Here is a 24,502-nt window from a genome sequence, read left to right as displayed (position 1 = left end):
CCTCTCTCTGCAAAGAGTTCATCCCTGCCAGCAGGGACCAGATCTGCTGGGCTGTCTTTCTCAAACAAGGGCCAGTGGAGCCAAAAGGAAGGGCTTCCAAACACAGGTAGTAGTGATGACACTTTCTGCCACGCCTCCCACCCACCATTGCCAAACACACACACCCTGTGGCCTGGACAATCCCTTCATCTTGCAGGAAGCACTGGGGCACCTCCTAGGAGTGGCCTGCCACTCTCCTGCTCCAGGCATGCAGGACTCCCTTCCTGGAGCTAGCAAACAAAGAAAAACCAACATAGGGCCTTTAAAACCACTCTGCAGAGGATGTCGCCTCCACCAAAGGAGATGAGAAGGGCAAGCTGAGATAAGCAGAGCTGCTTAGAAACCGAACACAGAGTCAAATTAAAACATTCATTGGAGGCAATAGAACGCGGATCAGTGGAGTGAGAAACAAGATGTCTCCCTTCCAAATCACTGCAAAAGAGAAAAGAAATCATCAGCTATGGCTCAAAAGTCAGAAAAGAAAGGAAATGCAAAAAACATAAAACAAGATGACAGGGGGCCACCTGGAATGGTTATGACGATAAATGTAAGCATTTAACATTCCCTTGTAAGAAGACAAAGGTTCTAGATTAAATTCATACAGAAGACTCACCTAAAATTAAATGGCTCCAGGGTAGGCAAAGCTATCCCAGGTAAATGCAAACAAAAGAAAAAGCGTGAGTGGCTATATCAGACAAAGCACAATTTAAGGCAATAAGCAGTGTCAAGCAGGATAAAAAGGGTAATTTTATATTCATAGGAGCAATTGTGAAAGCATAACTGTTCTGAACATTTGTACACTCAGTACTTTAGCATCGAAATACATGAGGCAAAATTTGTTACCGTTAGAAATACAAGAAGCTGGCCAAATGACAGTTGTGGGCATAAATTTACATTCTTCTCTCAGTACCTGACCTCAAATAACCAAAACATATATAACAACGGAAAGGAGTAATATAATGAAAATTTAATTAAAAGGTGGGTACTGAACTTTGTACCAGTCTGAATGATGTTTGCCATGTTTTAAAAGCCATAAATTCATGCCTGCAACATGTGTTAAATTTAGTACACATTTATGTATACAATATAATTATAATAGCAGTTTTCAAAATCCTAAACCACTGAAAAGCCACTGAAAGAAAATAGACCAAAATGTTAACATATGGTATGTTTAGAAAGGTTGAAATTTAGGCATTTTTAATTTTTCTTTTTTTCACTTTTTCTTCCCGTGTTCTTTAATGATCAAATAATATTCCATGACCTAAAAAAAAAAAATGAACTAGAAAAAAAAGAGTAAGACTCATTCTCATAGATAGGGTTTAGAATTTCCAAGATTTGAGAACATATATTCATGGGGTTTGGGTAAAAATTAACAAGCAAGGGCAGCAGATAGGAATCCCAGCAGACCCCACACAGCCTGGGCTTCTTCGCTCGTCCAGGTCCTCCTAGCTCATTGCCTACTTGAAATCCTCTGCCCCAGGGCACTGCATTCTCCTAACTCAGCTCCCACTCCTCCTATCTCATCCTTTCCACCCTTCCATACTCCACTGGCAGCTCCAACGTGGTTGTCCCAAGACATAGCCTGGTCTCCTTGCATACCCCATCTGCCATGCCCTGGTGACCTCGCCCACTCTTGTACAGGGATGTAGCTCCCCCTTATGTGCTATGGACTCCTGAATTCATCTCTAGCCCCAAACTCAACACAGAATATCAAAGGTGTACATCAGCCTGCTGACTGGACATCACTCCATATATGTGGGGAAGGAATGACAGATGCAGGTAGATGTGCCTGCAGTCAGACCCTCTGAACACATGAGGGTCGGGCAAATGGATTGAGTGTGAGGCAGGGATGCCACAGAGGCTGGTGATGAGAGCATTTAAATATCCACAGTCAGATGCAGTAGAAGGTTCTTACGAAAGAATCAGAATAAATCATCACCTTGGGTATGGCCTACTCTATGCCATCCAAAAATAAAACCAATGGCTCTCTCTGACTTACATGATTATGAACTGTGTTTATTTCAGTAATCCAGAAAAACAACAGCCGGGCATGGTGGCTCATGCCTGTAATCCCAGCACTTTAGGAGGCCAAGGCAGGAGAGTCATTTGAGCCCAGGAGTTCAAGACCAACCTGGGCAACATAGTGAGACCTCATCTCCACCAGAACCAAAAACATTAGCTGGGCATGCTGGCACACACCTGTAGTCCCAGCTGCTCTGGAGGCTGAGGTGAGAGGATCACTTGAGCCTGGGAGGTTGAGATGTAGTGAGCCATAATCGCACCACTGCACTCCAGCCTGGCTGACCCTGTCTCGGAAAAAGAGAAAAAAGAAAAGAAAAGAAAAACAAAGTCAAATTTTTAAAACCAGACGCAGGCTGCCCTGGCACTTGGAATGCTCACTCTGGACCCCTCAAATTTTCTTCTGCCCACCTCATACATTTAGCTGCCAGACAGACTCTGCACCCCCACTGAGATTTGCTGGTCAGTGGTTTCTGGTCTGGTCTCCTTACTTCTCAGGGCAGAGCAGAAAGTCTGTAAATTTCCTGAAGTTTTTAATCTACCAGTAAAACAAGTAAGGATGAGATGAGGTTCTTAGCCCACTGATGTGGTATGTTAATTTAAAGGCTTTTATAACTACAAGGTACTGTCTCTTTTGAAAAGGACAAAAATAAACTTAAGTACTTTTTATAAACATATATTCTTATCAATTTCAGCTCTAAGTACATACTTTCATTGGAAAGTAAATTACTTTAAGAGAGCTTTCTAAAATTATTACATATAATTTCTCTTATATAAGAATCCTAGGTCTGGATTGCTATCCAGTTACCATTTTATTTTAAAAGGCAAATGTGCATGAGACCACTCTGGAAAGAGTGGCTTTGGAGAAGGAAGAAGTGAGTCCTCTAACAAGTCACGTAACTTTTGTAATTTGCAATCTCCTCTTTTCAAAAGTGAAGAAAATAATACCTACCATAAAGGATTATTGTAAAGAAAATTCTGTTACTTTTTTTTCTTTTCTTTTTTTTTTTTGCGAGACAGAGTCTTGCTGTGCCACCCAGGCTGGAGTGCAGTGGCACAATCTCAGCTCAGTGCACCTCTGCCTTCCTGGTTCAAGTGATTCTCGTGCCTCAGCCTCCCGAGTAGTTGGGATTACAGGCCCGCACCACCACACCCAGCTAATTTTTGGTTTTGGGTTTTTTTGTTTTGTTTTGTTTTGTTTTTTTCAGACAGAGTCTTGCTCTGTTGCCCAGGCTGGAGTGCAGTGGTAGGATCTCAGCTCACTGCAACCTCCACCTGCCGGGTTCAAGTCATTCTCCTGCCCCAGCCTCCCAAGTAGCTGGGATTACAGATGCCCACCACTATGCCTGGCTAATATTTGTATTTTTAGTAGAGACAAGTTTTCATCTTGTTGACCAGGCTGGTCTTGAACTCCTGACCTCAAGTGATCCGCCTGCCTTGGCCTCCCAAAGTGTTGGGATTACAGGCGTGAGCCATGACACCCGGCCGAAATCCTGTTTCGTAAGTAAAGTGTCTAGTACAGTCTTGCAGTACAAGCTCAGTAAACATAGCAGTTATTAGTATTCTCATGTCAAACAGTGGTTTTCAGGCTCCCCACTCCTGCCCCATGCACATTATAAATGGGAGTCCATGTGGGAAAAACTCCCAGGTCTGATACAATCGCCAGCAAGACAGCTTTAACTCCACATCCCTTCTCCTCTCACTCAAGAAACATCAGAAGGCACTGATTCTGACTGCAACTGAAGCTAATACAGAAAAAGTCCCTAGACTCTTTACTTTTATTTTTAAGTAAATTAGTCCCGAACCTTATTGTCTTATCATTAGTAACAAATTAAAGGGCATGCACTAATGTCTACAAGGCAAGTTCCAATTATCTGAGAGGCTGTTTTCTCAGAACCAAGCATGTCATCACTTCCCTGGGAGTCGGCAGCCCCCTTTATTATGTGAGACTTGGTGGCCTGGCTCCTTGCCAGTTACAATCTCAAGTAACTGAAAATCTAAGGCCACATTTTCTTACTCCCTCAATCCCTGTCCTCCCACTGGTATGGTGCCCTGCCTTTAGCTAACAGTTCCTAAATGTTTCATGAAGAAATATATCTGAATTCTGTCCCCACTCCCTGCACAGGGACTGGCAAATATGCATTATGGGCCAAAATCAGGTCAGATGACCTGGCTTCCAGCAACAATGTGCACAGAAGACAAATGATTCAATAGGGCATGTCTATCCACTTGACACGACATTCTGCAGCCACTGGAAATGATGCTCTCGAAGACTCAAAGGCCACATGGAGATGGATCTAACATTAATTGAATAAATAGACCATAAAGAGAGTGTCCCGGTTCAGCCATCACACGCATGGATCCAGGCAGAAGAGGAAGGCCAAACAGTATTTCTTGCTGTGAGAGGGGCGTGATTCTGCATGATGTGTTTCCAAATTCTCTTCCATGTTTTTTGGCTTTTATAATGAACAGTGGGGTGATGGGGCAGGGGGAGGGAGAAGGCCCCAAGACTAGAAATTAGCCCAGTGCTTCTTCATAGGCATGTAGCCAAACTCAGCATGCTGAACTCAGAATGAAGGGTAAGGAGCCAGACCAGGGGAAAGGATGGGTCAGCTAGAGTCCATTTAGGAATGAAATGTGGACTTGACCCAAAATAGCTGTCATGCTCAGCCTCGGAGTCTAAATTAATCCTCCTCTTAGTTTATTGACATCTATGAAATTGATTCTCACCACAGAATCACAACCCATGGCCCTAGCATTGTAGTCGATAAAGCATGACTGGGGAGGAGGTAGGAAGCATCTGCACCCAGTATTCACAGAGGGGCACCGTGGTGGGCTTTTCTAAGGCCTGTGTGTTATCCTATGCATTATTAAGGAGAAAGAGAAACTTTGGTGGAGGGAGGGGGCATAGAGGGAAGAGGGGAGTATGTTAGTGGCTGGGGGAGGGAGGGCAGCTTTTGCTGCTGTCAGGTCAAAGCTGACCTTGGGTACCACCTCCTCTACACTCATGCTGGAAGCCTGGCCCCACTTTAACTGAATGTGCTCCTAACCCCACTCCAACCCCACTCTGCAGATTTGGGGGGTAACAGGTGCAGCGACAGAAGGGCCTGGACGGCTTGCTCCAGAGGGGACTCCTCATCCTAAACTTTCAAAGAGGGGAGTGGGTTTATCCCTTTGTCTTCATACTGTCTTGAGTCTGGACTTCAAAGGGCAGGAGGTAAATAGCAGAACTGGTCTCAGGGAGAACAGGGCTTTCCAGGAAGCCATCCTGGGAATTGTAACATCTAACCCCTTCCTTTCCTTGCTGCTGACCCAGACTTCACTACCCTCTCCTAAGAAAGGACACACTGCTTGGTCCCAGGAAAAGGTCCCTCCCTTTGTCCTCAAGTCCTTCATTTTGAAAAGCACGGAGAAGGGCACAGCCCAAAGGGCTCATACTCATTGCTGACAAGAGTAACTAGGACAGGCCAGTGTCTGCCCTGGGCTACACAACCCCACCCCTCCCCAGCTGGGCTGCAACTGATCACGCAACCCTGCAGGAGTAAGGGCCTGTGGTGCCCACTGCATGCACCCCAAGCTCCTTTTTTCTGCCCTCAAGGTCTTGCTGAGAGCAGAAACAATTATACTCCTGGAATCAATACAGGAGGCTTGAAGCGCTGTGCCCCCAAACCTACCCAGATCCTTCTCAGGAAATCCAGCCCAGCACCAAGGTTTCCATAGCAGTCAGAGTGCCCTTATCACTGGGCACAGAGGCTAACTGAGATTTTCAGAACAACCCTTCTCAAGCACAGAGCACTAACCAGCCCTCATGCAGCATTGACTGGTGCCTGGCTCTGGCAGCCCCTATTACACTGAGCTTTGCAGGATCTGGCAGACAGCTAGACTGGAATGGAGCCCACTGTATCCAGCAAGAAAGCAGACAGGCATTGGCTTTGCCCACAATGGAGATTAGACCACTAGCAATCCAGCCCTGGGGCTTCCATGCACCCCATCTCAGGGTACCTGGTAGGCTGGGGCCAACTCCGAGTCTATAACACTGCAATGGCCTAGCCCATAGCGCATGTCTGCCCTGTCTATGGCACCCAATGTATAGCCAGCAGAGAGGGGTCATCTCCCACAGGGCAGCCAGATATAGTTACATCACTGAGACTGACTTTCCCCTGGCTTGACTAGGCTGACCTGCTCTGACCACAGTCACCATTGTCTGCTGGGATTTTTTATGTGACCATAGTTCCTAGACAGCAGAACCCAACTGGGCCTGGTCTCCTCTGGGCTCTCTGCACACGCTGCTGTGCATGACCATCTGTGTCCAGGTCTGCCTCCCTTCTCTAAGGCAGGGACCAAGTGTGACCTCCTCCAGCCCCTAGTTCAGGTATCGACAGAGGGTTCTGTGATCTGGGGACCTTAGGGACTGCCTCTTGCAAACATCCCAAGCTCACTTTTTCTCTTTCTTTATCAGACATGGAAAATAGGGGGTTAGATGTTCCAGTTCCCAGCATGACTTCCTGGGAAGCCCTTTTCTCTCTGTGACCGGTTCTCCTATTTACCTCTTACGTTTTGAAGTCCAGACTCAAGACAGTATGAGGACAAAGGGATAAACCCACCCTCCCCTTTGAAAATCCAGGATGAGAAGTCCCTTCTGGAGCAAGCTGCCCAGGCCCTTCTGCTGCTGCTCCTGCTCCCTGCAAATCTGCAGAATGGGGCAGGAGCGGGGTGAAGGATGCATTCAATTTGTAAACCAGGGTGGAGTGGCTGTTTGAGGCAGCCTGTGTGGCTCTTCTGTTCAAAGCGTTGCCTCTGGCACACTAGTCAAGGATTTGTCCTACTCTTTCTGATCATACACGGTTTATTGCCCTCTGCTTCCTAATGTCTTTTTACCATGGCCATATCTTCTTGGGAGATGCTCACAGGGCCTTTGAGCTGGAAAATCTTGGGTCATTAGCCTCTCTAAGTGAAGTCAAGTGAGTTTGTCTCCATGATGTTTACTTCCCTGCTCCAAGGATGAGGCCTTGGCTGCTCAGACACTCCAAAGCAAACATAGAAATGGGGTGTGGATGAAGGTGGACATAGCTCATGGGAAGTCTAAGAAGCTGACAGAGGCACAGGAAGATGCTTCCCTGTGGGTAGATCCACTAAGTGGCATGAGACCCTCCCCTCTCTGAAGTCTTCATCTTTCCTTTGCATTTCTGGGTCTCGAGCACAGGGAACAAGGGACTGGATCCTCAGGTGAACCTGTCTTGTACCTGCCCCCGCTTGCCAAGCTCCTCCCGTCCCCTCTGTCCTGCCCACTCCCTTCCTCCTTCCTTTCTCTGATTCGATGTTTCAGCTCCCACATTTGGAGGTGACTGCTCACAATGCATCAGCACCCCCCCCCAGTCATTTTTAACTCCCCATCCCACTCCTGTGACCCAAATGTTAGATGTTACACAGTTCTCAACCCAGAATCATCTTGTTGACTTCTGCCCATAGCACTAGGGTTGTGCTGTCCGGTATGGGAGCCTCTAGCAATGTGTAACTATTTAAATATAAATAAATAAGATTAAATTAAAAATTCAGTTTCTCAGTCACCCAAGCCACATTTCAAGTGCCTGATAACCATGTGTGGCTACAGGCTACCATATTGGACAGTGTCGAAACAAAACATTTCCATCACTGCAGAAAGTTCTGTTGGACAGTTGCTGCCAGAGCCTCCAGATGTCTTAGGGTCCCAATTCTTTCACTAGATGCATTCATTATTCCTCCCAGTTCTTCCTTGCCGTCTGGCAAGTTTGACGATACAGAAAAGTGGTAAGATCATCTCTGAAATCAGATAGACCTTAGTTTAAGGCTGGGCATGGTGGCTCACGCCTTAATCCCAGCACTTTGGGAGGCTGAGGCAGGTGGGTCACATGAGGTCAGGAGTTTGAGACGAGCCTGGCCAACGTGGTGAAACCCTGTCTCTTTTGTATCTGAAAATACAAAAGTTAGCCAGGCATGGTGGCACACTCCTGTAATCCCAGCTACTTGGGAGGCTAAGGCAGGAGAACCGCTCGAACCCCGGAGGTGGAGGTTGCAGTGAGCCGAGATCTCACCACTGCACTCCAGCCTGGGTGACAGAGCAAGACTCTGTCTCAAAAAAAAAAAAAAAAAAAAAAAGATAGACCTGAGTTTAAATCTCTGATTTAAAATAGGCTGCTGAGTGGACCTAGGAAGCCTCAGTCTCCTCATCTGTAAAATGGGAATAACCATATTGACCTACGTGGATTGATGGCAGGATTAAATGAGTAAATTTAAAGTAGCTGGCAGAAAGAAGCACTCCACAAATGAGGTTATTATTATTCTTGTTATTAATAAAAAGTTGAACAGCCCAGTGTGAGGCTGAATCCGTATGAAATATTTACATGTGTACACACAGTCAGGGTTGGAAAATGAGTGCAGTGACAGAAACAGCAATGACGAATGTACATCTATCCCTTGGCCTCTTGAGGATATTTCTATTTTGGGTGCTATTTCCACACCATATTGATTTTAAATCAATTGTTAAGAGCTTTTCATTGTTTCACAGTTTTCAGAAGCATGTCTCTCCTTCAGATATTCAGTAGCTCCCCCTGGCAACTTTCATCAATGAGTCACTTTTATGGAGGCCAAGCAGTAGGGACAAGCTACTAGGTCAGCCAGGAGTCAGCTCCAGGCCACTGTGGGGAGACCCACAGAAGCTTCTTGACATGGTCATGAACTGGTTGTCAGTGTGACCAGGGTGAGCCAGCTCACCACTCTTTGTTTTCTCTTCCTCCAGTCTCCAGTCCCCATAATGACATAATAAATGGGGTTGTCAAAGATCAAATAAGGTTATTGAATCAACATTCATTTCCTTGTGGGTACACCTGTGTCTGACATCCGTGGGGCTTGGTTCTACATTAAGCCTTAGTAGATTCTCCGTTCAAATGTTGACTAGATACCTGATCATGTAAACGTCCTATTTAGAACTATGCTATGCATCTTGCAAAAGTGGAACAGGATTATTGATACTGTAGTAGATAAGATGGCTAAAATAGAGCCTCTATTTTATTTTCACCTTTGTTGTGTCTTAAGTCTGAAGTTTATTTTCCTTGAGGAAAATCTAGCCCATCATCAGCACTAGGGATCCCTGCTTCTTTTTAAGCAAATCCACTCTCAGTGCTCCCTTAGCATCCTCCACATGGAATCCTCTGTGCTGGGGGTACATTGTCACCTCAGAGACACACATGTGATTGACTTCCTCGCGGCATAGTGCAAGGGAGGAGGGCTGACAAACCCAGGTGTTGTTCCTTCTGGGTGGCACACCTCTCCCTCTCTTTCAGCAGGGAGTGCTTGTTCTCCAGATCCCCACCACCCAGCCCCAGCCTGGGCTGGCCCGAGGCCGGATATCTTGCTGAGTATCCCACCACCCTCCCAGCCTGCAGATTCACCCATCCTTATTGCCTCACAGTGCTAACAGCAATCTGAAGAGCTTAGGGTCAGCATTGATGTGTCCCATGGCGCTGCCACCTCCCTGCCCCTGTCATCACAGCCTCCTTGGTTTCTGCCCATCCTTCTTCTGACTCTGGCTCCTTAGGGCCCGCCCCCCCACCCATTGTCCTCATGGCATCCAGTGGAGTTTGCCTCCTGTGGCTGTCACTCTGCAAAAGCCAAAGACCCTCTCCAAGAGATGAGGAAGCTGGGCCCCTTCGCTCCCTCCTACTGATTATTCATGTGAAACCTTGGAACCATCCAGCTGGAGGAGACCCTCTTGGCATGCAGGGCTCTTGCCCCTGCCTTCACCCATCCCAAGCAGTCTATTTCTTTTGAATAGGAAAGATTCTCCCTCACCAGTTCCAGCCTTGACTTCGGTGCACCTCCAGAGACATCCATGAAGTTCTGTTTTGATTTCCCATATACAGAGAATTGACAACCAAAGGTCTAAAGCCAGAGGTTCTAATTCTGGCCCTTGTAAGCCCTACTATCTGATAAGTGGGAGTGAGTGCCATGACTACCAACCCACAGGCACCATCCCATCAGCTGAGGCCCAGGCCTCTCTTCCACATCTTCCTGGGAGGAGGTTTCTGCATCTTTTATTAGGGACTGTTTTCTTAAGAACATTCTTCTGGTTTATAATATAGCCAGGCGCAGTGGCTTATACCAGCAATCGCAGCATTTTGGGAGGCCAAGGTGGGCAGATCACTTGAGACCAGGAGTTCAAGACCAGCCTGAGCAACTTGGTGAAACCCTGTCTCTACCAAAAATACAAAAAATTAGCCAGGCATGGTGATGTGCACCTGTAATCCCAGCTACTCAGGAAGCTAAGGTGGGAGGATCACTTGAGCCCAGGAGGCGGAGGTTGCAGTGAACTGAGATCATGCCACTGCACTCCAGCCTGGGTCACAGAGTGAGACCCCATCTCAAAAAAAAGAGAAAACATTCTTCTGGTTTATAATAGAGTCATGAAGACAGTAACTTTGCAAGAGAATAGAGTCATCAAGACAGTAACTTTGCTGATGCCTGGCGTGGCGCTGAACCATTCTGTGTGGATTCTCCCATTTCATCCCCTCAGCTGTTGTATGATGCAGCTACTATGATTACCTCCATTTTACAGATGTGAGAATTGGGGTTCATAAGTAAAATTACTTTTCCCAGGTCACTGTGGAGTCAGGCCCAACATGACTTGAGGGTCTGACTGTTCGACCATGATCCACAGGCCCTTGCACACAGGACCAAAGCTCTGCAGGCAGTGCCCAGGAGTCACAAGGGTCTCTGCTGATGCTTATTCCCCCTACGGCCCCTGCAGCCCCATTGTGGAGGGGCAAGTGAAGAAGGCAGAAGGCAGACTTAATGCTGGGGCTGGGAGTTCAGGATTCAAAGCTTCAAGATGGTATCTTTAGGATAATTACATCCTGCCATGTATACACAGGAGTAAGGACATGGCAGTACTCCTGGCCAAAGAGAGGATTCAGGAGAAACTGTTGTTCCCACAGCCAGTGACCAGGGCAGGCTTAGCCAGGGGGCCTAGGACCCTCTGGCACCCTAGGACCACCTAGGCCCCCTGGCTAAGACTGCCCTGGCCATTGGCTAACTCCTTGGGCTTTGTGCAGGGAGGGCCTGACTGGGCAGGTGACGTCCCCAGGCCGAGCCCTTGGTCACCTTGGGCCATGTCCACCCTCACTGTGGACTGTTCACCGCCACTGAGGCCTCCAGACCTTCCATCTCCCCAGCACTGCTCTGCTGGGTGACATCACCGCCTCCTCAGCCACTGCTGGGGTCCAGAACCACCCACATCAGCCTCCATAACTTGTTTCACTTGTGCCAGTCTGTTCTTTCATGCTCAGAGTGCCCCACGGGGTCTGGAATAGTGCCAAGCTTAGGAAGTACCTGCTGGTGGGTAAAAAATGAGGTGGTCCTAAGCTCCTTGGCTAAGCCTGAAGCAGAGATCTGGGGTTCAGGAACAAGACCAGTAGGAAGAAAAAGACTCAACCCAGTTTGCTGGTGTCTTAGTTCATTTTCTATTGCTGTAACAGGACACCTGAGACTGGGTAATTTAGAAAGACAAGAAATGTATTTCTTACAGTTCTGGAGGCTGGGAAGTCCAAGATCAAGGGGGTCGCATCTGATGAGGGTCTTCTTTCTGTGTCATAATATGGTAGAAGATGGAGAGAGATAGAGAGTATGCCAGCTCAGATCTCTCTTCCTCTTATAAAGCCGCCAGCCCCATCATGGATCCCCACCCTAACTACCTTAACTAATCCTAATTACCACCCATAGGCCTCACCTCCAAATGCCATCAATATATGAATTTGGAGATTAGGTTTCTAACACAAGAAATTTGGGGGACACATTCAAACCATAGCAGCTAGTAAGTAACTCTCTGAGGAATCCCAGGAAGCATCTTCAGCTACTCAGAGCAAGGTCACAAGAAGGGAATGATCTTTGAGATCCCTTTTGTGCCATAAAGGAGGTGACAAGGAGGCCAGAAAACCTTGGTCAAAATCCTGACTCTGATGCTAACTTGAACCAATTACTTCACCTCTTTGAGCCTTAGTTTCCTCAGCTGTAAAATAAGGTAATACCAGTGCCTGTCTCTTAGGTTGTTGTGAAGATCACTGAGCTAATAACTTTGAAAATGACTGTGAAGCCCCCGCTGAGAACTGTGGAAAGGTTTACCATTACAACTAAAATCCTCTAAATCAGGCTGGGGCTGTATATGTGTTCAATGGTTAAGGAAACTGGTGCTTTTCAAGGAGACTCCAATATTCTAGCTGAAAAGGACCTCAGAGATCCTCACATTAACCTCCTCACTTTAACGAAGGAACCAGTGCAGCCCAGCCCAGAATCTCCCAGCAGCCTACACGCCACCTCTTTCTCTGCAGCAGGTACACCCAGGGGAGGCAGAAACTCGCCCACTATTCCCTGGAGGTTAAAATAAGGAGACTGCATGGGAAGCAATTTGCAGTCATCTCAGATCTGTGGCTAAGGAGAAAATTCCCTCCCCTTTTCTCCAAACCCTCAGCATCATCAAACTAAACAACCCCTCAGTGGGAGGTGGAATTCTTCACCACCAGTTCTCACCTGACTGGAGGCCTCCAAGCAGCTGGGCCTGTACTGTTTTTTATTTCAACAACAGCAAAACCTTCTTTTCCTCCCTCTGAGCACTTTACTATACTCTGTTTCCTGCACATTCTTCCAGCTTCTTGCTCAGGGGCCTTATACGTCTATCTTGTCCAAGCACCTGCCCAGATCACAGCAAAATGAGAACCAGGCCCAACATCCATGGCTTTCCCAGTTCTGGGCAAGGGAAGAGGTTAATTCAGATTCCATGAGGGCCTCTGCAGAATCACAATATTTCCTCACCTAGGATAAATTCCACCTCCTTCTGAGGATTTCTGCTGTAGTTTGGTGATGCTGAGGAATATGTTATCTTACAGTTTTGGAGGTCAGAAACCCAAAATCAATTTCACTGAGCTAAAATCAAAGCATCAGCAGGCTGGTGTTCCTTCGGGAAGCTCTAGGGGAGAATCTGTTTCCTTCTAACTTCTAGAGCCTGCCTATATTCCTTGGCTCCTTGCTCCTTCCTCCATTTTCAAAGCTTCAGCCTCTGCTTCCTTGTCATCCTCTTCTTCCACCTTCAGCGGTCTTGCTTCCCTCTCAAAAGGATCCTTGTCGTTACGTTGGGCCTATCTGGATAATCCAGGCTTCTCTCCCCATCTCAAGATGCTTGACTTAATCACATCTGCAAAGTTCCTTTTGCCACATAGAGTAGCATATTCACCAGTTCTGGAGATTAGGATATGGACATCTTTCAGGGGCTACTACCAAGTCTAATAGGCAGGCCACTGGACCCCTAAGCCTTGGTTTCATCAAGCAAGTAGGGAAGAAAAACAATGCCCACCCCTAGACTCTTTAATGGGTCGAACTCAATGGTGCCCTGGAATGTCAATGGCTAGGAATGGAGGCCGAGCTATGAGTATCAGGCCTCATTCCCTAGCCAAGTCAAAGAGATGTGTCTGGGAGGTGGTAGAGTGAGGGAGTGGGGCTTGGACTTAATTGTTTTACTGGACATGGCTTCTTCAGGTGTACTGGGGGAGTGGTTTGCACAAACACTGCCAGGTTGGTCATAAGTCTGTCCCCCTGGCTCATTGCCATGCTGGCTTTGGCTCCATTGCCTCTGGTCTCTTCATCCCCCACCCCACATACCTATCTTCCTGTGCTGTCATTCCAAAGCACACATATAACCACGTCTCTCCCTTTTGTGGCTCCCCCTCATCCTTGGGTGGAGGTTCAAGCTCTTTACCTTGAGTTACACAGTCTCTGCCATTCCCCACAAGCGCCAGACAGAGCCACAGAAAGCAGGTGGCAGATGTGCGAGGGCAGAGCTGGGAATGGGGGTGAAGCAGATGAGGGAGGATGGGGATACTGTGCAGATGGTGTTGCAGGGACGGGCCTGACTCCAGGGGCCCCTGTGTACAGAGGCAGTTGGTGCCGACATGCTGGTGGTCTCTGGCTGTGAACCCAGGTGGGCCAGTGAATGAGCATCAGGTAGAACCCAGCCCATCAGAGCTGTTGGCCTGGTCCTGACTCAAATGGGAGTGGCTTCTGGGTGCTGGTTATTGTTCTGAAGTCTGGAAGGACAAGAGGGGAAGTCTTTTCTCCACAAATGATTTTGGCCAAACCCCAGGGATGGAGAATGCCCACTAGGACCTGGATGAGCTGAAGGCCATAGCTTGCTGAGGGAGCGATTTGGTCTCTCTCTGCATTAGCTGAAGACATGTTGAAGTGGGTTCAGGGCCCCCACCTACCTGAGTCACCATCATGAAGCTTAATTAATGCTTACAAAGTGCTCTGAGGCCTTGACTGAGAGGCCTCATGTGAACACAGAATATCCTTATTAATCACTGTGACAGCACCAAGTGAGGTGGCCTATGGGGCAGCTGCCTCCACACACAGAACAATGGATGCAGCCCAGCAGTTAAATTGCGATTTTGAAGAGTAGTCCTGATCAGCTGGTTCAAAAGCAGCTTAGCTGGAGGAGGCAGGCCTGCCTAGGAGCCACTTAACTCACCTGGCCCTTATCTCCCATGCATTAAGTTGAGGCAATAAAACGCCCCTCCCTGCTGGGCAGGGATAATGGGAGGACTGTCAGGTAATGGTGAAGCATCCCTTTTAAGCCTGGGTAACCAGGCTATTAGCCTAGCCAGAGGGAGCCAACTGGAAGATCATATAGGCTCCGTACCAGGCTGAGTGTCTTTGGACAAGTCCCTCAACTTCTCTGAACCTCAATTTCCTCATCTGCAAAGTGGGACAATAACAATTGTACCTTTTTCCTTATAGGATTGCGAAGTTCAAATGAAATGGATATGAAAGGTGCCTATAGTAATGATATTAGTAATAAGAATAATGGCCGGGCATGGTGGCTCACACGTATAATCCCAGCACTTTGGGAGGCTGAGGCAGATGGATCACCTGAGGTCAGGAGTTCGGTACCAGCCTGGCCAACATGGCAAAACCTGTGCATGCCTGTGGTCTCAGCTACTTGGGAGACAGGTGGGAGGATTGCTTGAGCCTAGGAGGTTGAGGCTGCAGTGAGCCAAGATCACACCACTGCACTCCAGGCCATGTGACAAGAAAGACACTATCTCTTAAAAAAAAAAAAAAAAAAGCAATAGCTATTCGGGATACTACATGTTCCAATAATCAGCTACTCTGATCCCCACTTTACAGATGAGGGAGCCCAAGAACAAAGTGACCTCCAAGTTCCCACAATTAGTGATAGGTGGAGCTGGAACTCAGGCAGTCTGGCTTCAAAGTCTGTTCTCTCCCCCACTCTCTGATGCTGCCTTTATCATTAGTGTCATTATACTCATTTTAGGAGTAAGGCTTCATTATGGTTGTCATCTTCATCATCATCATTACATGGGGTTCATGGAAGCTGGGCCCTGGGGCATCTGTGCTATGTTGGAGGTGAGGAGGGTTCTCTCTATCTTCCATAGGAAGGGAGGAAAGTTATTGTTGTCAAGATAGAGGTGAAGTACATGGTTTTTCTCTTACCAAAACTCTGGAGATGCAAGGAAATGTGTAACAGGATTTGAGGAAAGACAGTCAACAGATGTTGGATGCTGCATCCCCATCCTGCCCCATCCCTCTGGCTAGGCGTTGAGGGGGACATTGTCCCCACATGTGATATACAATGAGCTGCCTGTGGGTGATAGGGCAGTAGATTCCTGGCCACCCAGCCATCACCTGTTTCTCCCGCACTGGCTGATCCCCCAAAGGAAGGTTCCAGAGACCTGACACAAAATCCTCAGTCTTGTTAATGTGCTCAATGCATGTTCCAGAACTTCAGCCAGTCCCTGCAGTGGGACCCTGGCTCAAGCGCCATCAACCTTGACTTCTTCCTGTCTCATTGGTGGCCATAGCTGCTCTGGGCAGCTTCCTCCAAGACCCCCCGACCCTCCTAAACCAGCCTTAGAGGGTATGGTCCAGCATCCCTTACCCCTCCAGGACTAGACAGCCCAGCCAGATACTAGCTGTGGCCCCTAGCCACTACTTCTTCATCCCTCTCACCTCTCCTGAGGCCTATTTCTACAAATAGACCATACTGGGGCCTGCCCTGTACCCAGCTTTGCCCTCATGCCACACTCTCTCCATCCTGTCCTTGACCCCTTCCTCAGCATCCTGCACTCACACCATCCCTTTCTCCCCTCTAGGAGGATACATCTAGCAGACCCATTCTAGACCCAGCATACAGAAGGTTCCCTGCTCTGGCCTTCTCATCACCCAAAAGGACAAGAAAGTCCAGACCCATCTTTAGACAAGCTCAAGACTATGGTTCAGGCCCACCTGACATTTACAAGGAGACAGAGCCAGGGGCAGGCTTACTTTAGAAATGAACAAAAGAGTTTCCCAAGCTACCTCCCCTTTGAAATGGGCATCCCTGTTCTCATATGGGATCCAAACTGGTTTGCAAGGTAACGTGTGGTATATGGGGTGCTAGTGTAGACTATAAAATGCATTGAATCCTCCTCTGCTGCCTGCAGGGGGATGTGATGTCAACATGGATGTTGTTCTTTGCCTTCCCCATTTGCCTTTTGGGGAATATGTCCCTATCAGGAAAGTGAGTCTCTCACCCTAGGAAAGCTCTCTACTTTAAAAAATTTAGTGCAATTCTTTTTATATCAGATGGTTATATTTAAAGTATTCAAAGGCCTAGATTTGCATCGTCTTGGTTAAATTACTCATCACCCATCTCTCATCTACAACCTTTTTTTTTTTTTCATTTTATGAAGGCTTCATTTACATAAAGAGTCTTAGTTTTCCTCCAGCCAAGTAGGTGCTCATTTCTCTTGTGGGTATTTGAGTCATGTATCTACCTGCCTGGATGAACTCGGTGGGCATCTACACGGGACCTTCTGCTGCGGCACACCGTCTGCTGTGAGCTGCAGGTGCCTGGGTAGGCATCTTTCTCCCATGAGAAAGTGAAACCCAACAAGCCAGAAATGCACCTTGGCTGACAGCCCGCACACAACAGGAAGGGAGTGGGGGCAGATCCGGCAACATGATAGGGCACTTTCTTGAGAGCACAGGATTTTATAAAAAGTTGTTATGAATGTGTACCATTTATTGAGCACTTGATATGTACCAGGCATGTGCTTGTTGTATTTTTCTTCAGAATAATTATGTGATGCAGGCATCAGGCCCACTCCTTGGCTGAATAAACTAGGGCTTAGAGAAGTTGTAACTTGGCAAATGTCCCAGAGCTGGTAACCGGCAGACAGGTCTGTCTGACACCACACCCCCATGGCTGTATGTATGTGTTTACTCATTTATACCCTACTTCATTCCACGCAGGGTTTGAGGCAGCTCAGACGGAGCTGTGTGATATAGCAAAACGACACAAAGAACAATAGCAAGGAAAGCACGTTAAGGGAACTCTGAAGGTACCAGCATCTTTGTCTAGTAGCGTGTAGGTCTAGGACTGGTCTCCAAGCTTCCTAGCAGCCAAAGCAAAGAAAGCCCAATCTCTTCCCCAGTTGTTTGTGTTTGTATCATAAACACAATCCAAACACAGACCAAAGGCCAAAAGAAGCACAATATTTCCTAAGTCCAAGTTCAAAAATAAACAAATGTCTCTCAAGTGGCTCCTTAGGGAGGCTTGAATGCAATAAAAGAGTAACAGTAGAACAATTGAGGGGGCTTTGTCAGCAGCCCCAGCATAGCAGGGCCAGAGTGGCTCTGGAGTGGGGTAAGAGGCTATCAATCAACCCAGCCCCTCTTAGCTGAGTCGGGATAGCTGTCATAGCCTGGGTTCCCTGAGTGTGTGCGAATTTGTTGATGAGTTCAGGGAAGTGAAGAAGGCAGGATCAGGCAGATGGAGAAACAGACCCAGACTGTGGGTGCAAATGAGACCTCAGCAGTTCTACAGGGAACTCAGGAGCTGAGATAGCTCCTCAGAGTTGTCCCAGATGGGGGCCAAGGGACCTGGCCTTGGTACCCCCTCCCCATCTGCCAATCATTCAGAAAGGGCTTAATTTTGAGTGAGGCAGTTTGCCTCAGCTGAGGGCAATGCCTAGGGAGGGACACAGCTGTGAGATGTCCCCAGTACCCAGGGGATGGGTGCACCAGCCCTGAAGACAGGGTCTAAGTGGAAACCACGGCAGCCACCCCAAAGAGCCCTTGGGTACAGCTTTTGTGACTGAGTGCCCTGGCAATCAGGAAGCAGCTTTCCAGCCACAGAGCTCTCCTGGGACTGAGGCATCTTCCAGCGACACGGGCCTCCCACCTAGACCTGACAGGCCTCAGGACCAGCCAAGTTGCCCCTGGAATATAGCATGGCCTATGCTCTGACACACCTGTGCTCTGACCCACCGGACAGATAGGGCTTGAAGCCCCAGTGGCTGCATGGGTGACAACAACTTCAGCCTGGAAACTATTAAACACTCACCTAAGGCACACCTACCTACATTCACACAGCTTCAGAAATAAAAGCGCCACAAAGCACCTGGCTTTAGCAGTATTGTTACTTCCTGGTGAACCTGCCAAGGTAAACTGTTTGCTGAGCATACAAGGACGAGGCAGAATAAGGGAACAAGTTTGATGTTGCTGTTAAGAGGGAAACTGCTAGGGTTAGAAGACAACAACGGCCTTAGATTGTGTAAGGTTTGCCGGTAACATTCTGGACAGGAGGGTAGGAGGGATTAGGGAGAAACCCAGCTGGGCGGTGGCAATGATTTGTGGAGGGAAGAGTGGGACGGGAAGTAGAAGCCTGGGACAACTCAGGGTCGGAGGCCCCAGAGAGAGGGAGATGGGAAGGGGCTCACAGGGAACAATGGGGAGACCAGGGAAGAGGGCGAGGCCTAGAGCAGGGGAAAGGGTCGGGCTCTGAGCTATGACCCATGTCAGTTTTCATTCACAGGAGTTCTCCCTGGCCTGGGCCCAGCAGGAAGCGCTGGCACACACCTGATTACGGGCACAGTGGCAGCAGCAACCTGTTACTGTCCTTCATAGAGGTCTGGTCTCAGAGTCTTGCAGGAGGCAGAATCCACAGTTCCATCCAGGTTTCCATTTGGTTCTGCCTGGCTCTTCCAGCAGCCCTTGCAGCGCAGATGTTGTCGGTTTGAATCTGATGTGATGAACTCTTTAAATAGCTACCCTAATGGATAATCAATCATTTCAGAGCTTTAATACTAAATCAGGCCGTTGGACACATCTGGGGGCAAAGCTGTTTGTAAAGGAGCCAAAAACTGCCCTTTCTCTTTTACTTTGTGAGGCAGAATATGTCACATTAAATACCTAAGGGTCTAGGACAAGTCTCTTGTAACCTAAAAAAAAAAAAAAAAAGCTGAAGAGGTAGACTCTTCAAGAGTCTGCAAATTACATATGAAATTTGTAGATCTTTTTAAATTAGATTCTTCATCTGAAGAGTATAATGAATAGTAAAATAGAACCTCATGTTAACATTTAAAATAAGCATCCGCTATATATATTTTTGCTATATTTTTAAAAGTCAATATTAAAATAATACAAACACAGTAGTCATGGTTACACTTTTCAGGTTACCTAAATTTAAAAGGTACTGGAAGAAAGAAATTTTAAGCCGTAGGTTAACGTTTCCGTAGACAGATCTCCTGAAAATGCCTGGGAAGCCTGCTTTGAACCTTCTGTCCAGGAAAACAAACCATCTGCAAAACTGCAGAGTTGGCTCAAACTGCAGCTAGACCCTCAGCATTGCTGAACGGGCAGAATTCCCCACAGTTTGACCCAGTGATGAGCCCGGCCTCTCAGGCATCCCCTTACTGCCTGACCCCCAAGGACTCTTGCCTCAGGGACCCACTCCACGCTCTCTAGCCACCTCTCTGCCCACTCCTTGGGTTTCTCCACAAACCCAAATGTCAGGGACTCCAGGAGCTTCTTCCTGGCCCTCTTTGGGTCTCACTCTGAACTCTCCCCATGGGATTTTATCCACTCTCTGGGCGTTACCTGTAGGATGCCCTTGCCTACCTTTCAGTCTCTGGCTTGAGTTTCTCCCTAATGGCACAGTTTATGGCCCATGTTCTCATGGATCCACCTGGATGTCCGCCAGCCACCTTAGTTGTCACCTGCGCATCTCTGACTCATCATAGATGCCCAAACCCACAGCACCCATTCCGTCTCAGATGAGGCCTCAGCATCCACCCAATGCATAGGTCAGAGGCCTGAAAGACCCCCTGCTAGGCCCACTCCCTCTCACTGTCACTGTCACACCAGCCATTGGTCCGTCAGTCTTCCAGATTCATCATCTCCTGCCTTCTGTCACCATGTCCCTGGGTGACCAAGGCCACCTCCTACCTGGCCCTGCTGCCTCTGAGCCTTCCCCTCCCGGCAGCCCATGTGGCCTTTGTAGAACACAAATCAGGGCATGCCACTCAATCTGATGTCTGCAGGATCTGGCTGCTGCCAGCCTTCCTCATCTCATGCCATGCCCTGTTGGCCAGAGCCAAGAGCCAGCACTTTCCCCTACAAGTCTTTGTGCATGCCATTCCTTCTGTTCCTGCTTGGACACAAACCAGGACATGAAGACTGGCTCCTACCTGTGGGGCTTAGAGGCCTCCCAGGCCCAGAGTCTCCCACCAGGAAATCTGACTGCCAGACCTAGCATTAGGACTGACTCCATCTCCCAAACCCCCTCCTCTATCCTCCAGTGGGTGGCCCAGTGTGGGAGAGACCAGGCTGAGCCTACCCCACAGGTGGGACTGCACATAATTGAGCCCGGGTCAAGCCTTGCTAAAGAAGGGTCACAGACATTTCTTACATTCCGAAAGATACTTTCACAGATTTCCTCCAAGTTCTGAATTAATAAAGAGGAAAGTGAGGCTTTTACTCTCTAGGCTGTTTTCAAAATATCCTATTGTCCTCCCTTCTCTTGCTCAGCTTCACAAAAGCAGTGAAATTCCAAGTGCCCTTTTAAAATGTCGAAATAGCCATCTTGAAGTTATTTATCTTCCAGCTGGAAGGACTTCACAGGTCACCCAAGCCTATACTCAGCCTAGCCCTGTTAGACTATGGGAACAGAGTTGGGTGGCTGAGGTGGGGACAGAGACCAGAGCAGGGAATCTGTCTCTACCATAGTCTGGCAGCGCCATCCTCAGACTCTGTATAGCCAGCGGGCCAACCTTCATCTGTCCACACCTCAGGTGGAAAGTCACAGCTAGGATGGTGAGAAGGTTCTGAGTGTCCACCCACCCAGACCTTGACAGGAGGTGCCCCAGGCCCTTCAGGAGAGCACCAGAACAGCACCAGAGCATGCCAGGTTTTATATTTGGTGTGTAGCAGCTGGTCAGGGATTCTGATCCAGGACTCCTGCTCTGTACAGCCCATGCTCTACCCATTAAAATCACTGATTTCATGTCCTTGAACCTACAAACAGGAATTTAACACACAGAGGGGAGAGTGGAGAGGGGATTATTATGAGCTGTTTCCAGAGGAGGATTAGACCATTTTTTGGATCCATTTCAATGCACTGCCACGTTTTCATGACTAGCCTGGAGTTCTGAGTCCATATATCTTTTTATAGTTTGACCTTTACACAGGAAAAAACCTCAATGATTTTCCACTATTTTGAATAAGCTGAATGATTTTCTATGTTTTCTGAATGATTAAGGAATGAAAAAACAGAGCCTCTCATCATCAAAGGCCTTGAGGGATAATTTTCTCTGGAGGACAGGGTTCACAAAACTATCTTCCAGGTGAGCCAGTCCCTTCCTCATGATGGAGACCTCCTGTTGGATAGACCAGCTATCTTGCAGCTATCTTCCAGCTGCAAGGCTTCACAGCTCATGCTTTCCCATGTGGAAAGGGGAGCTTTATCCTGGAGCAGAGGCAGAAGAAGGGCCTTCGCCTCTCAGAGTGGCCAAAGCTATGGAGGCCAGGGCAGAAAATCGGTCCCCACAGTGAGCTGATGGGACAGTGACAGCCATCACCACCACCCTGGAAAACATCACCGAAACTCAGGCCCTGTGCATCCAGCAAAGCCTCATTCACCTGGTGTCAAAGAGCAGGCATTCCACATAGGCCCCAGGCCAAGGACTTGAGCCACGCCAAGGGTGAAAAGAAAAAAGCATTAGCGGCATGAGCTGGGATACATCACTTCAGCTCTCTAAGTCTGTTTTCTTTTCTATAAAATGACATAGATAATAGTTACTTGTAGGATTGTTAGGAGGTTAACATGTTTAAGATGGTGTGTATGTAGCAGGTACTCAAAAAATGTTCTTCCATCCCCTCTTCAAATGCCCAACTTTTAAAAGCACAGCATATTCCTCTAACATCTACCATACACTACCCTGCCTTCCTAAGCAATGAAGATGGAATATTATTTTACAATGTCTTGATAACTTGGGGAGCCTCATTATGAAAATATGGGAATCACAGAATGTCTATCTTGAGTGGGAATTGGCAGGCTTTCCAGGCTGATTCCTCACTGTGATGATCTCGCACATTCAAGATTTGCAGAGCCTTAGAGTTTTTCTTTTGGGCTTGATTTTCTTTGTAATTGAAACCAGGTACCAATGTCTATCAGAACTGTGTGTTAAATGAAGCAGGTAGGCTCTGAGTGAGGGCCTCTGCCTACAGGTGAGCAGGCAGGGACTGGGGGTGCTGTGGCCACCATTTTGACTCTTCAGAGCTGCTTTCTACTTACTCCTGGATTCACCAGCTATGTTTTGGGAGATAGGTGTGGCTGGAAATCTGTTGGATTTCCTGATCTGGACCCTTTACATGTTTGATGTTAGGTGGTTTGGTCACTTGTGGGTCTTGGGGGCTATCACCCTGGCTGTGGGTTTCCTCCCCGCCCACTCCCAAGGGTTGTATCTGGCAACCAGGAATGGCAGTGCGTGTTGGCACAGGGCTTGGGCTGCTGTGGGCGTACCTTGACAGGCAGTGAGATTTTCTTCTGAGTCCCCACCAACTGCTCATTCCTCATCATCTTCATGCCCTCCCCTCCTTAGGCTTTTCCTAGGAAGTTGCCCCAGGCCTTCCCCAGCCTCCTCTGGCCTCCCGGGCACAGCTCCGCCTAGCAACTGCCTCTGCCTCCCTGGCCCCGTGCACTGCACTTTCCCAGAGCACCTCCTGCCTCCTTCTTCCTTCCCCCATGCCCTCATTTCTGTTCCAGGCATGCTGGCCTCCCAGCCACCATGTCTCAAAAGCTCCCCCACCCCAGCCTCTCCCCTCTGGCCCAGAGGGTGGCCAGGTGCTGATCCAGACTCCTGGATTTCTCCTGTCTATCATTTTCATTCCTGCCCCCAATTCTGAGCTTCCTCCCAGTCTTCAGCACTTTTTGATGCTGTCCCACTGCCCTAGGATCCCCAAGGTGTCACAGCCACTTCCTCTGGCTGCTACCAGGGTGAGGCAGAGAAGGCATTAGGAGCTCCACTTTACAGAATAAAACATCAAGGTTAATGCATGGGGCTTGCTTGAGTGATCCAGCTTGTTCTACAAGGATGCTCTACGTGGCTGCTGTTCCCCCACTGCTGGGTGTAGGCCTCATCTTTGATCGTTATCCATTATCACTTCCACCTGCCCAGTCTCAAGTCCTGTGGGCAGCCCTGCTGGCCATCAGCTCATGCTCAGTCTCTCCTCCCTCCATCACCCTCCCATCCCTCACTCACCAGCCTCCACCCATGCCTGCAGTGGGAGGGTGGGAGAGGCCCTAAGCAGGAATCAAGATGGGTAGGTGCTCATTTGGGCCCCACAAGACCAGGTCTCTAGCCTGAACTATAGTGGTGACCTTGTAGAGGATGGTGGTTGTCCTCAGACACCAGCTCTGGCCAGGCAGTGTGGCCGCCACACCTGGAGCTCCCCACCCCAACACTGCAACAGCACCCAAGTGCCAAGTGCCCAAGGAGTTTGTGCCCCTCTGTGATCACTGGACTGAGGTGGTCCTGGCAGGAGAACAGGCCTGGGCCTGAGGTTGGGGGAGGGCACTGTGCTGACACTCCCCAAAGATCTCTCCTGACCCCGGCCTGCTTTGCCTGGAGGCTGCCCTCCCTCATGCCCACAGGGACATTCTGGTCATAGAGGAGTGCAGCCACATGGCCTCTTCCTGCTGGCTCCTTAAACTCTGGCCTTCTCTGTCATCAAGGTGTGATCACCCCCACACTCCAACACTGGCAGCTGATGATGCCCGCCCATTCCCTGCTTAGGCAGAACTCACTGGCATCTGCCGTGAAGTCTGAGTGATTCCTGACCTCACTGTGCAGGTGCCATGGCCCGTCATTAGGAGTCTTCACTCTGCCGGAATTCACAGATGCAAGGTGCCTCGATGCTGCAGGTGTTCCTGTTACTCTTTATTTTACCTAAATTACTTGTAACAGGAACATTGTGCCCTTCAGTTGGCCTACGATTTAAGTCCTTCTCTGTGTCTGGGAAACTTTTGAATTAAAAACAAACAAACCAAAAAACTCGGGATGCTGGAGTATTTCCATCCGTG

General features: G+C 48.4%; 1 protein-coding gene across 6 annotated transcripts in view, besides 2 other annotated features; it reads left to right on the top strand.

The window, feature by feature from the left end:
* SMPD3 (sphingomyelin phosphodiesterase 3) overlaps window positions 1-24,502 on the top strand; it is a 90,182-nt gene that overhangs the window by 13,324 nt on the left and 52,356 nt on the right. The gene's annotated exons all lie outside the window — the stretch shown is intronic.
* Window positions 22,507-23,457: an enhancer, noted in NCBI's record as "H3K27ac-H3K4me1 hESC enhancer chr16:68445631-68446581 (GRCh37/hg19 assembly coordinates)". NCBI's record gives its function as "activates a minimal SCP1, AML or CMV promoter by ChIP-STARR-seq in naive H9 embryonic stem cells {active_cell/tissue: H9 hESC(naive)}" and the evidence as "EXISTENCE:reporter gene assay evidence [ECO:0000049][PMID:30033119]".
* Window positions 23,458-24,410: an enhancer, noted in NCBI's record as "H3K27ac-H3K4me1 hESC enhancer chr16:68444678-68445630 (GRCh37/hg19 assembly coordinates)". NCBI's record gives its function as "activates a minimal SCP1, AML or CMV promoter by ChIP-STARR-seq in primed H9 embryonic stem cells {active_cell/tissue: H9 hESC(primed)}" and the evidence as "EXISTENCE:reporter gene assay evidence [ECO:0000049][PMID:30033119]".

This window comes from Homo sapiens, chromosome 16 (assembly GCF_000001405.40).
Source record: "Homo sapiens chromosome 16, GRCh38.p14 Primary Assembly".
NCBI classification, from domain to species: Eukaryota; Metazoa; Chordata; class Mammalia; order Primates; family Hominidae; genus Homo; species Homo sapiens.
Note: the sequence above shows the minus strand (reverse complement) of the source record. Positions and strands in the feature narration are given on the sequence as shown.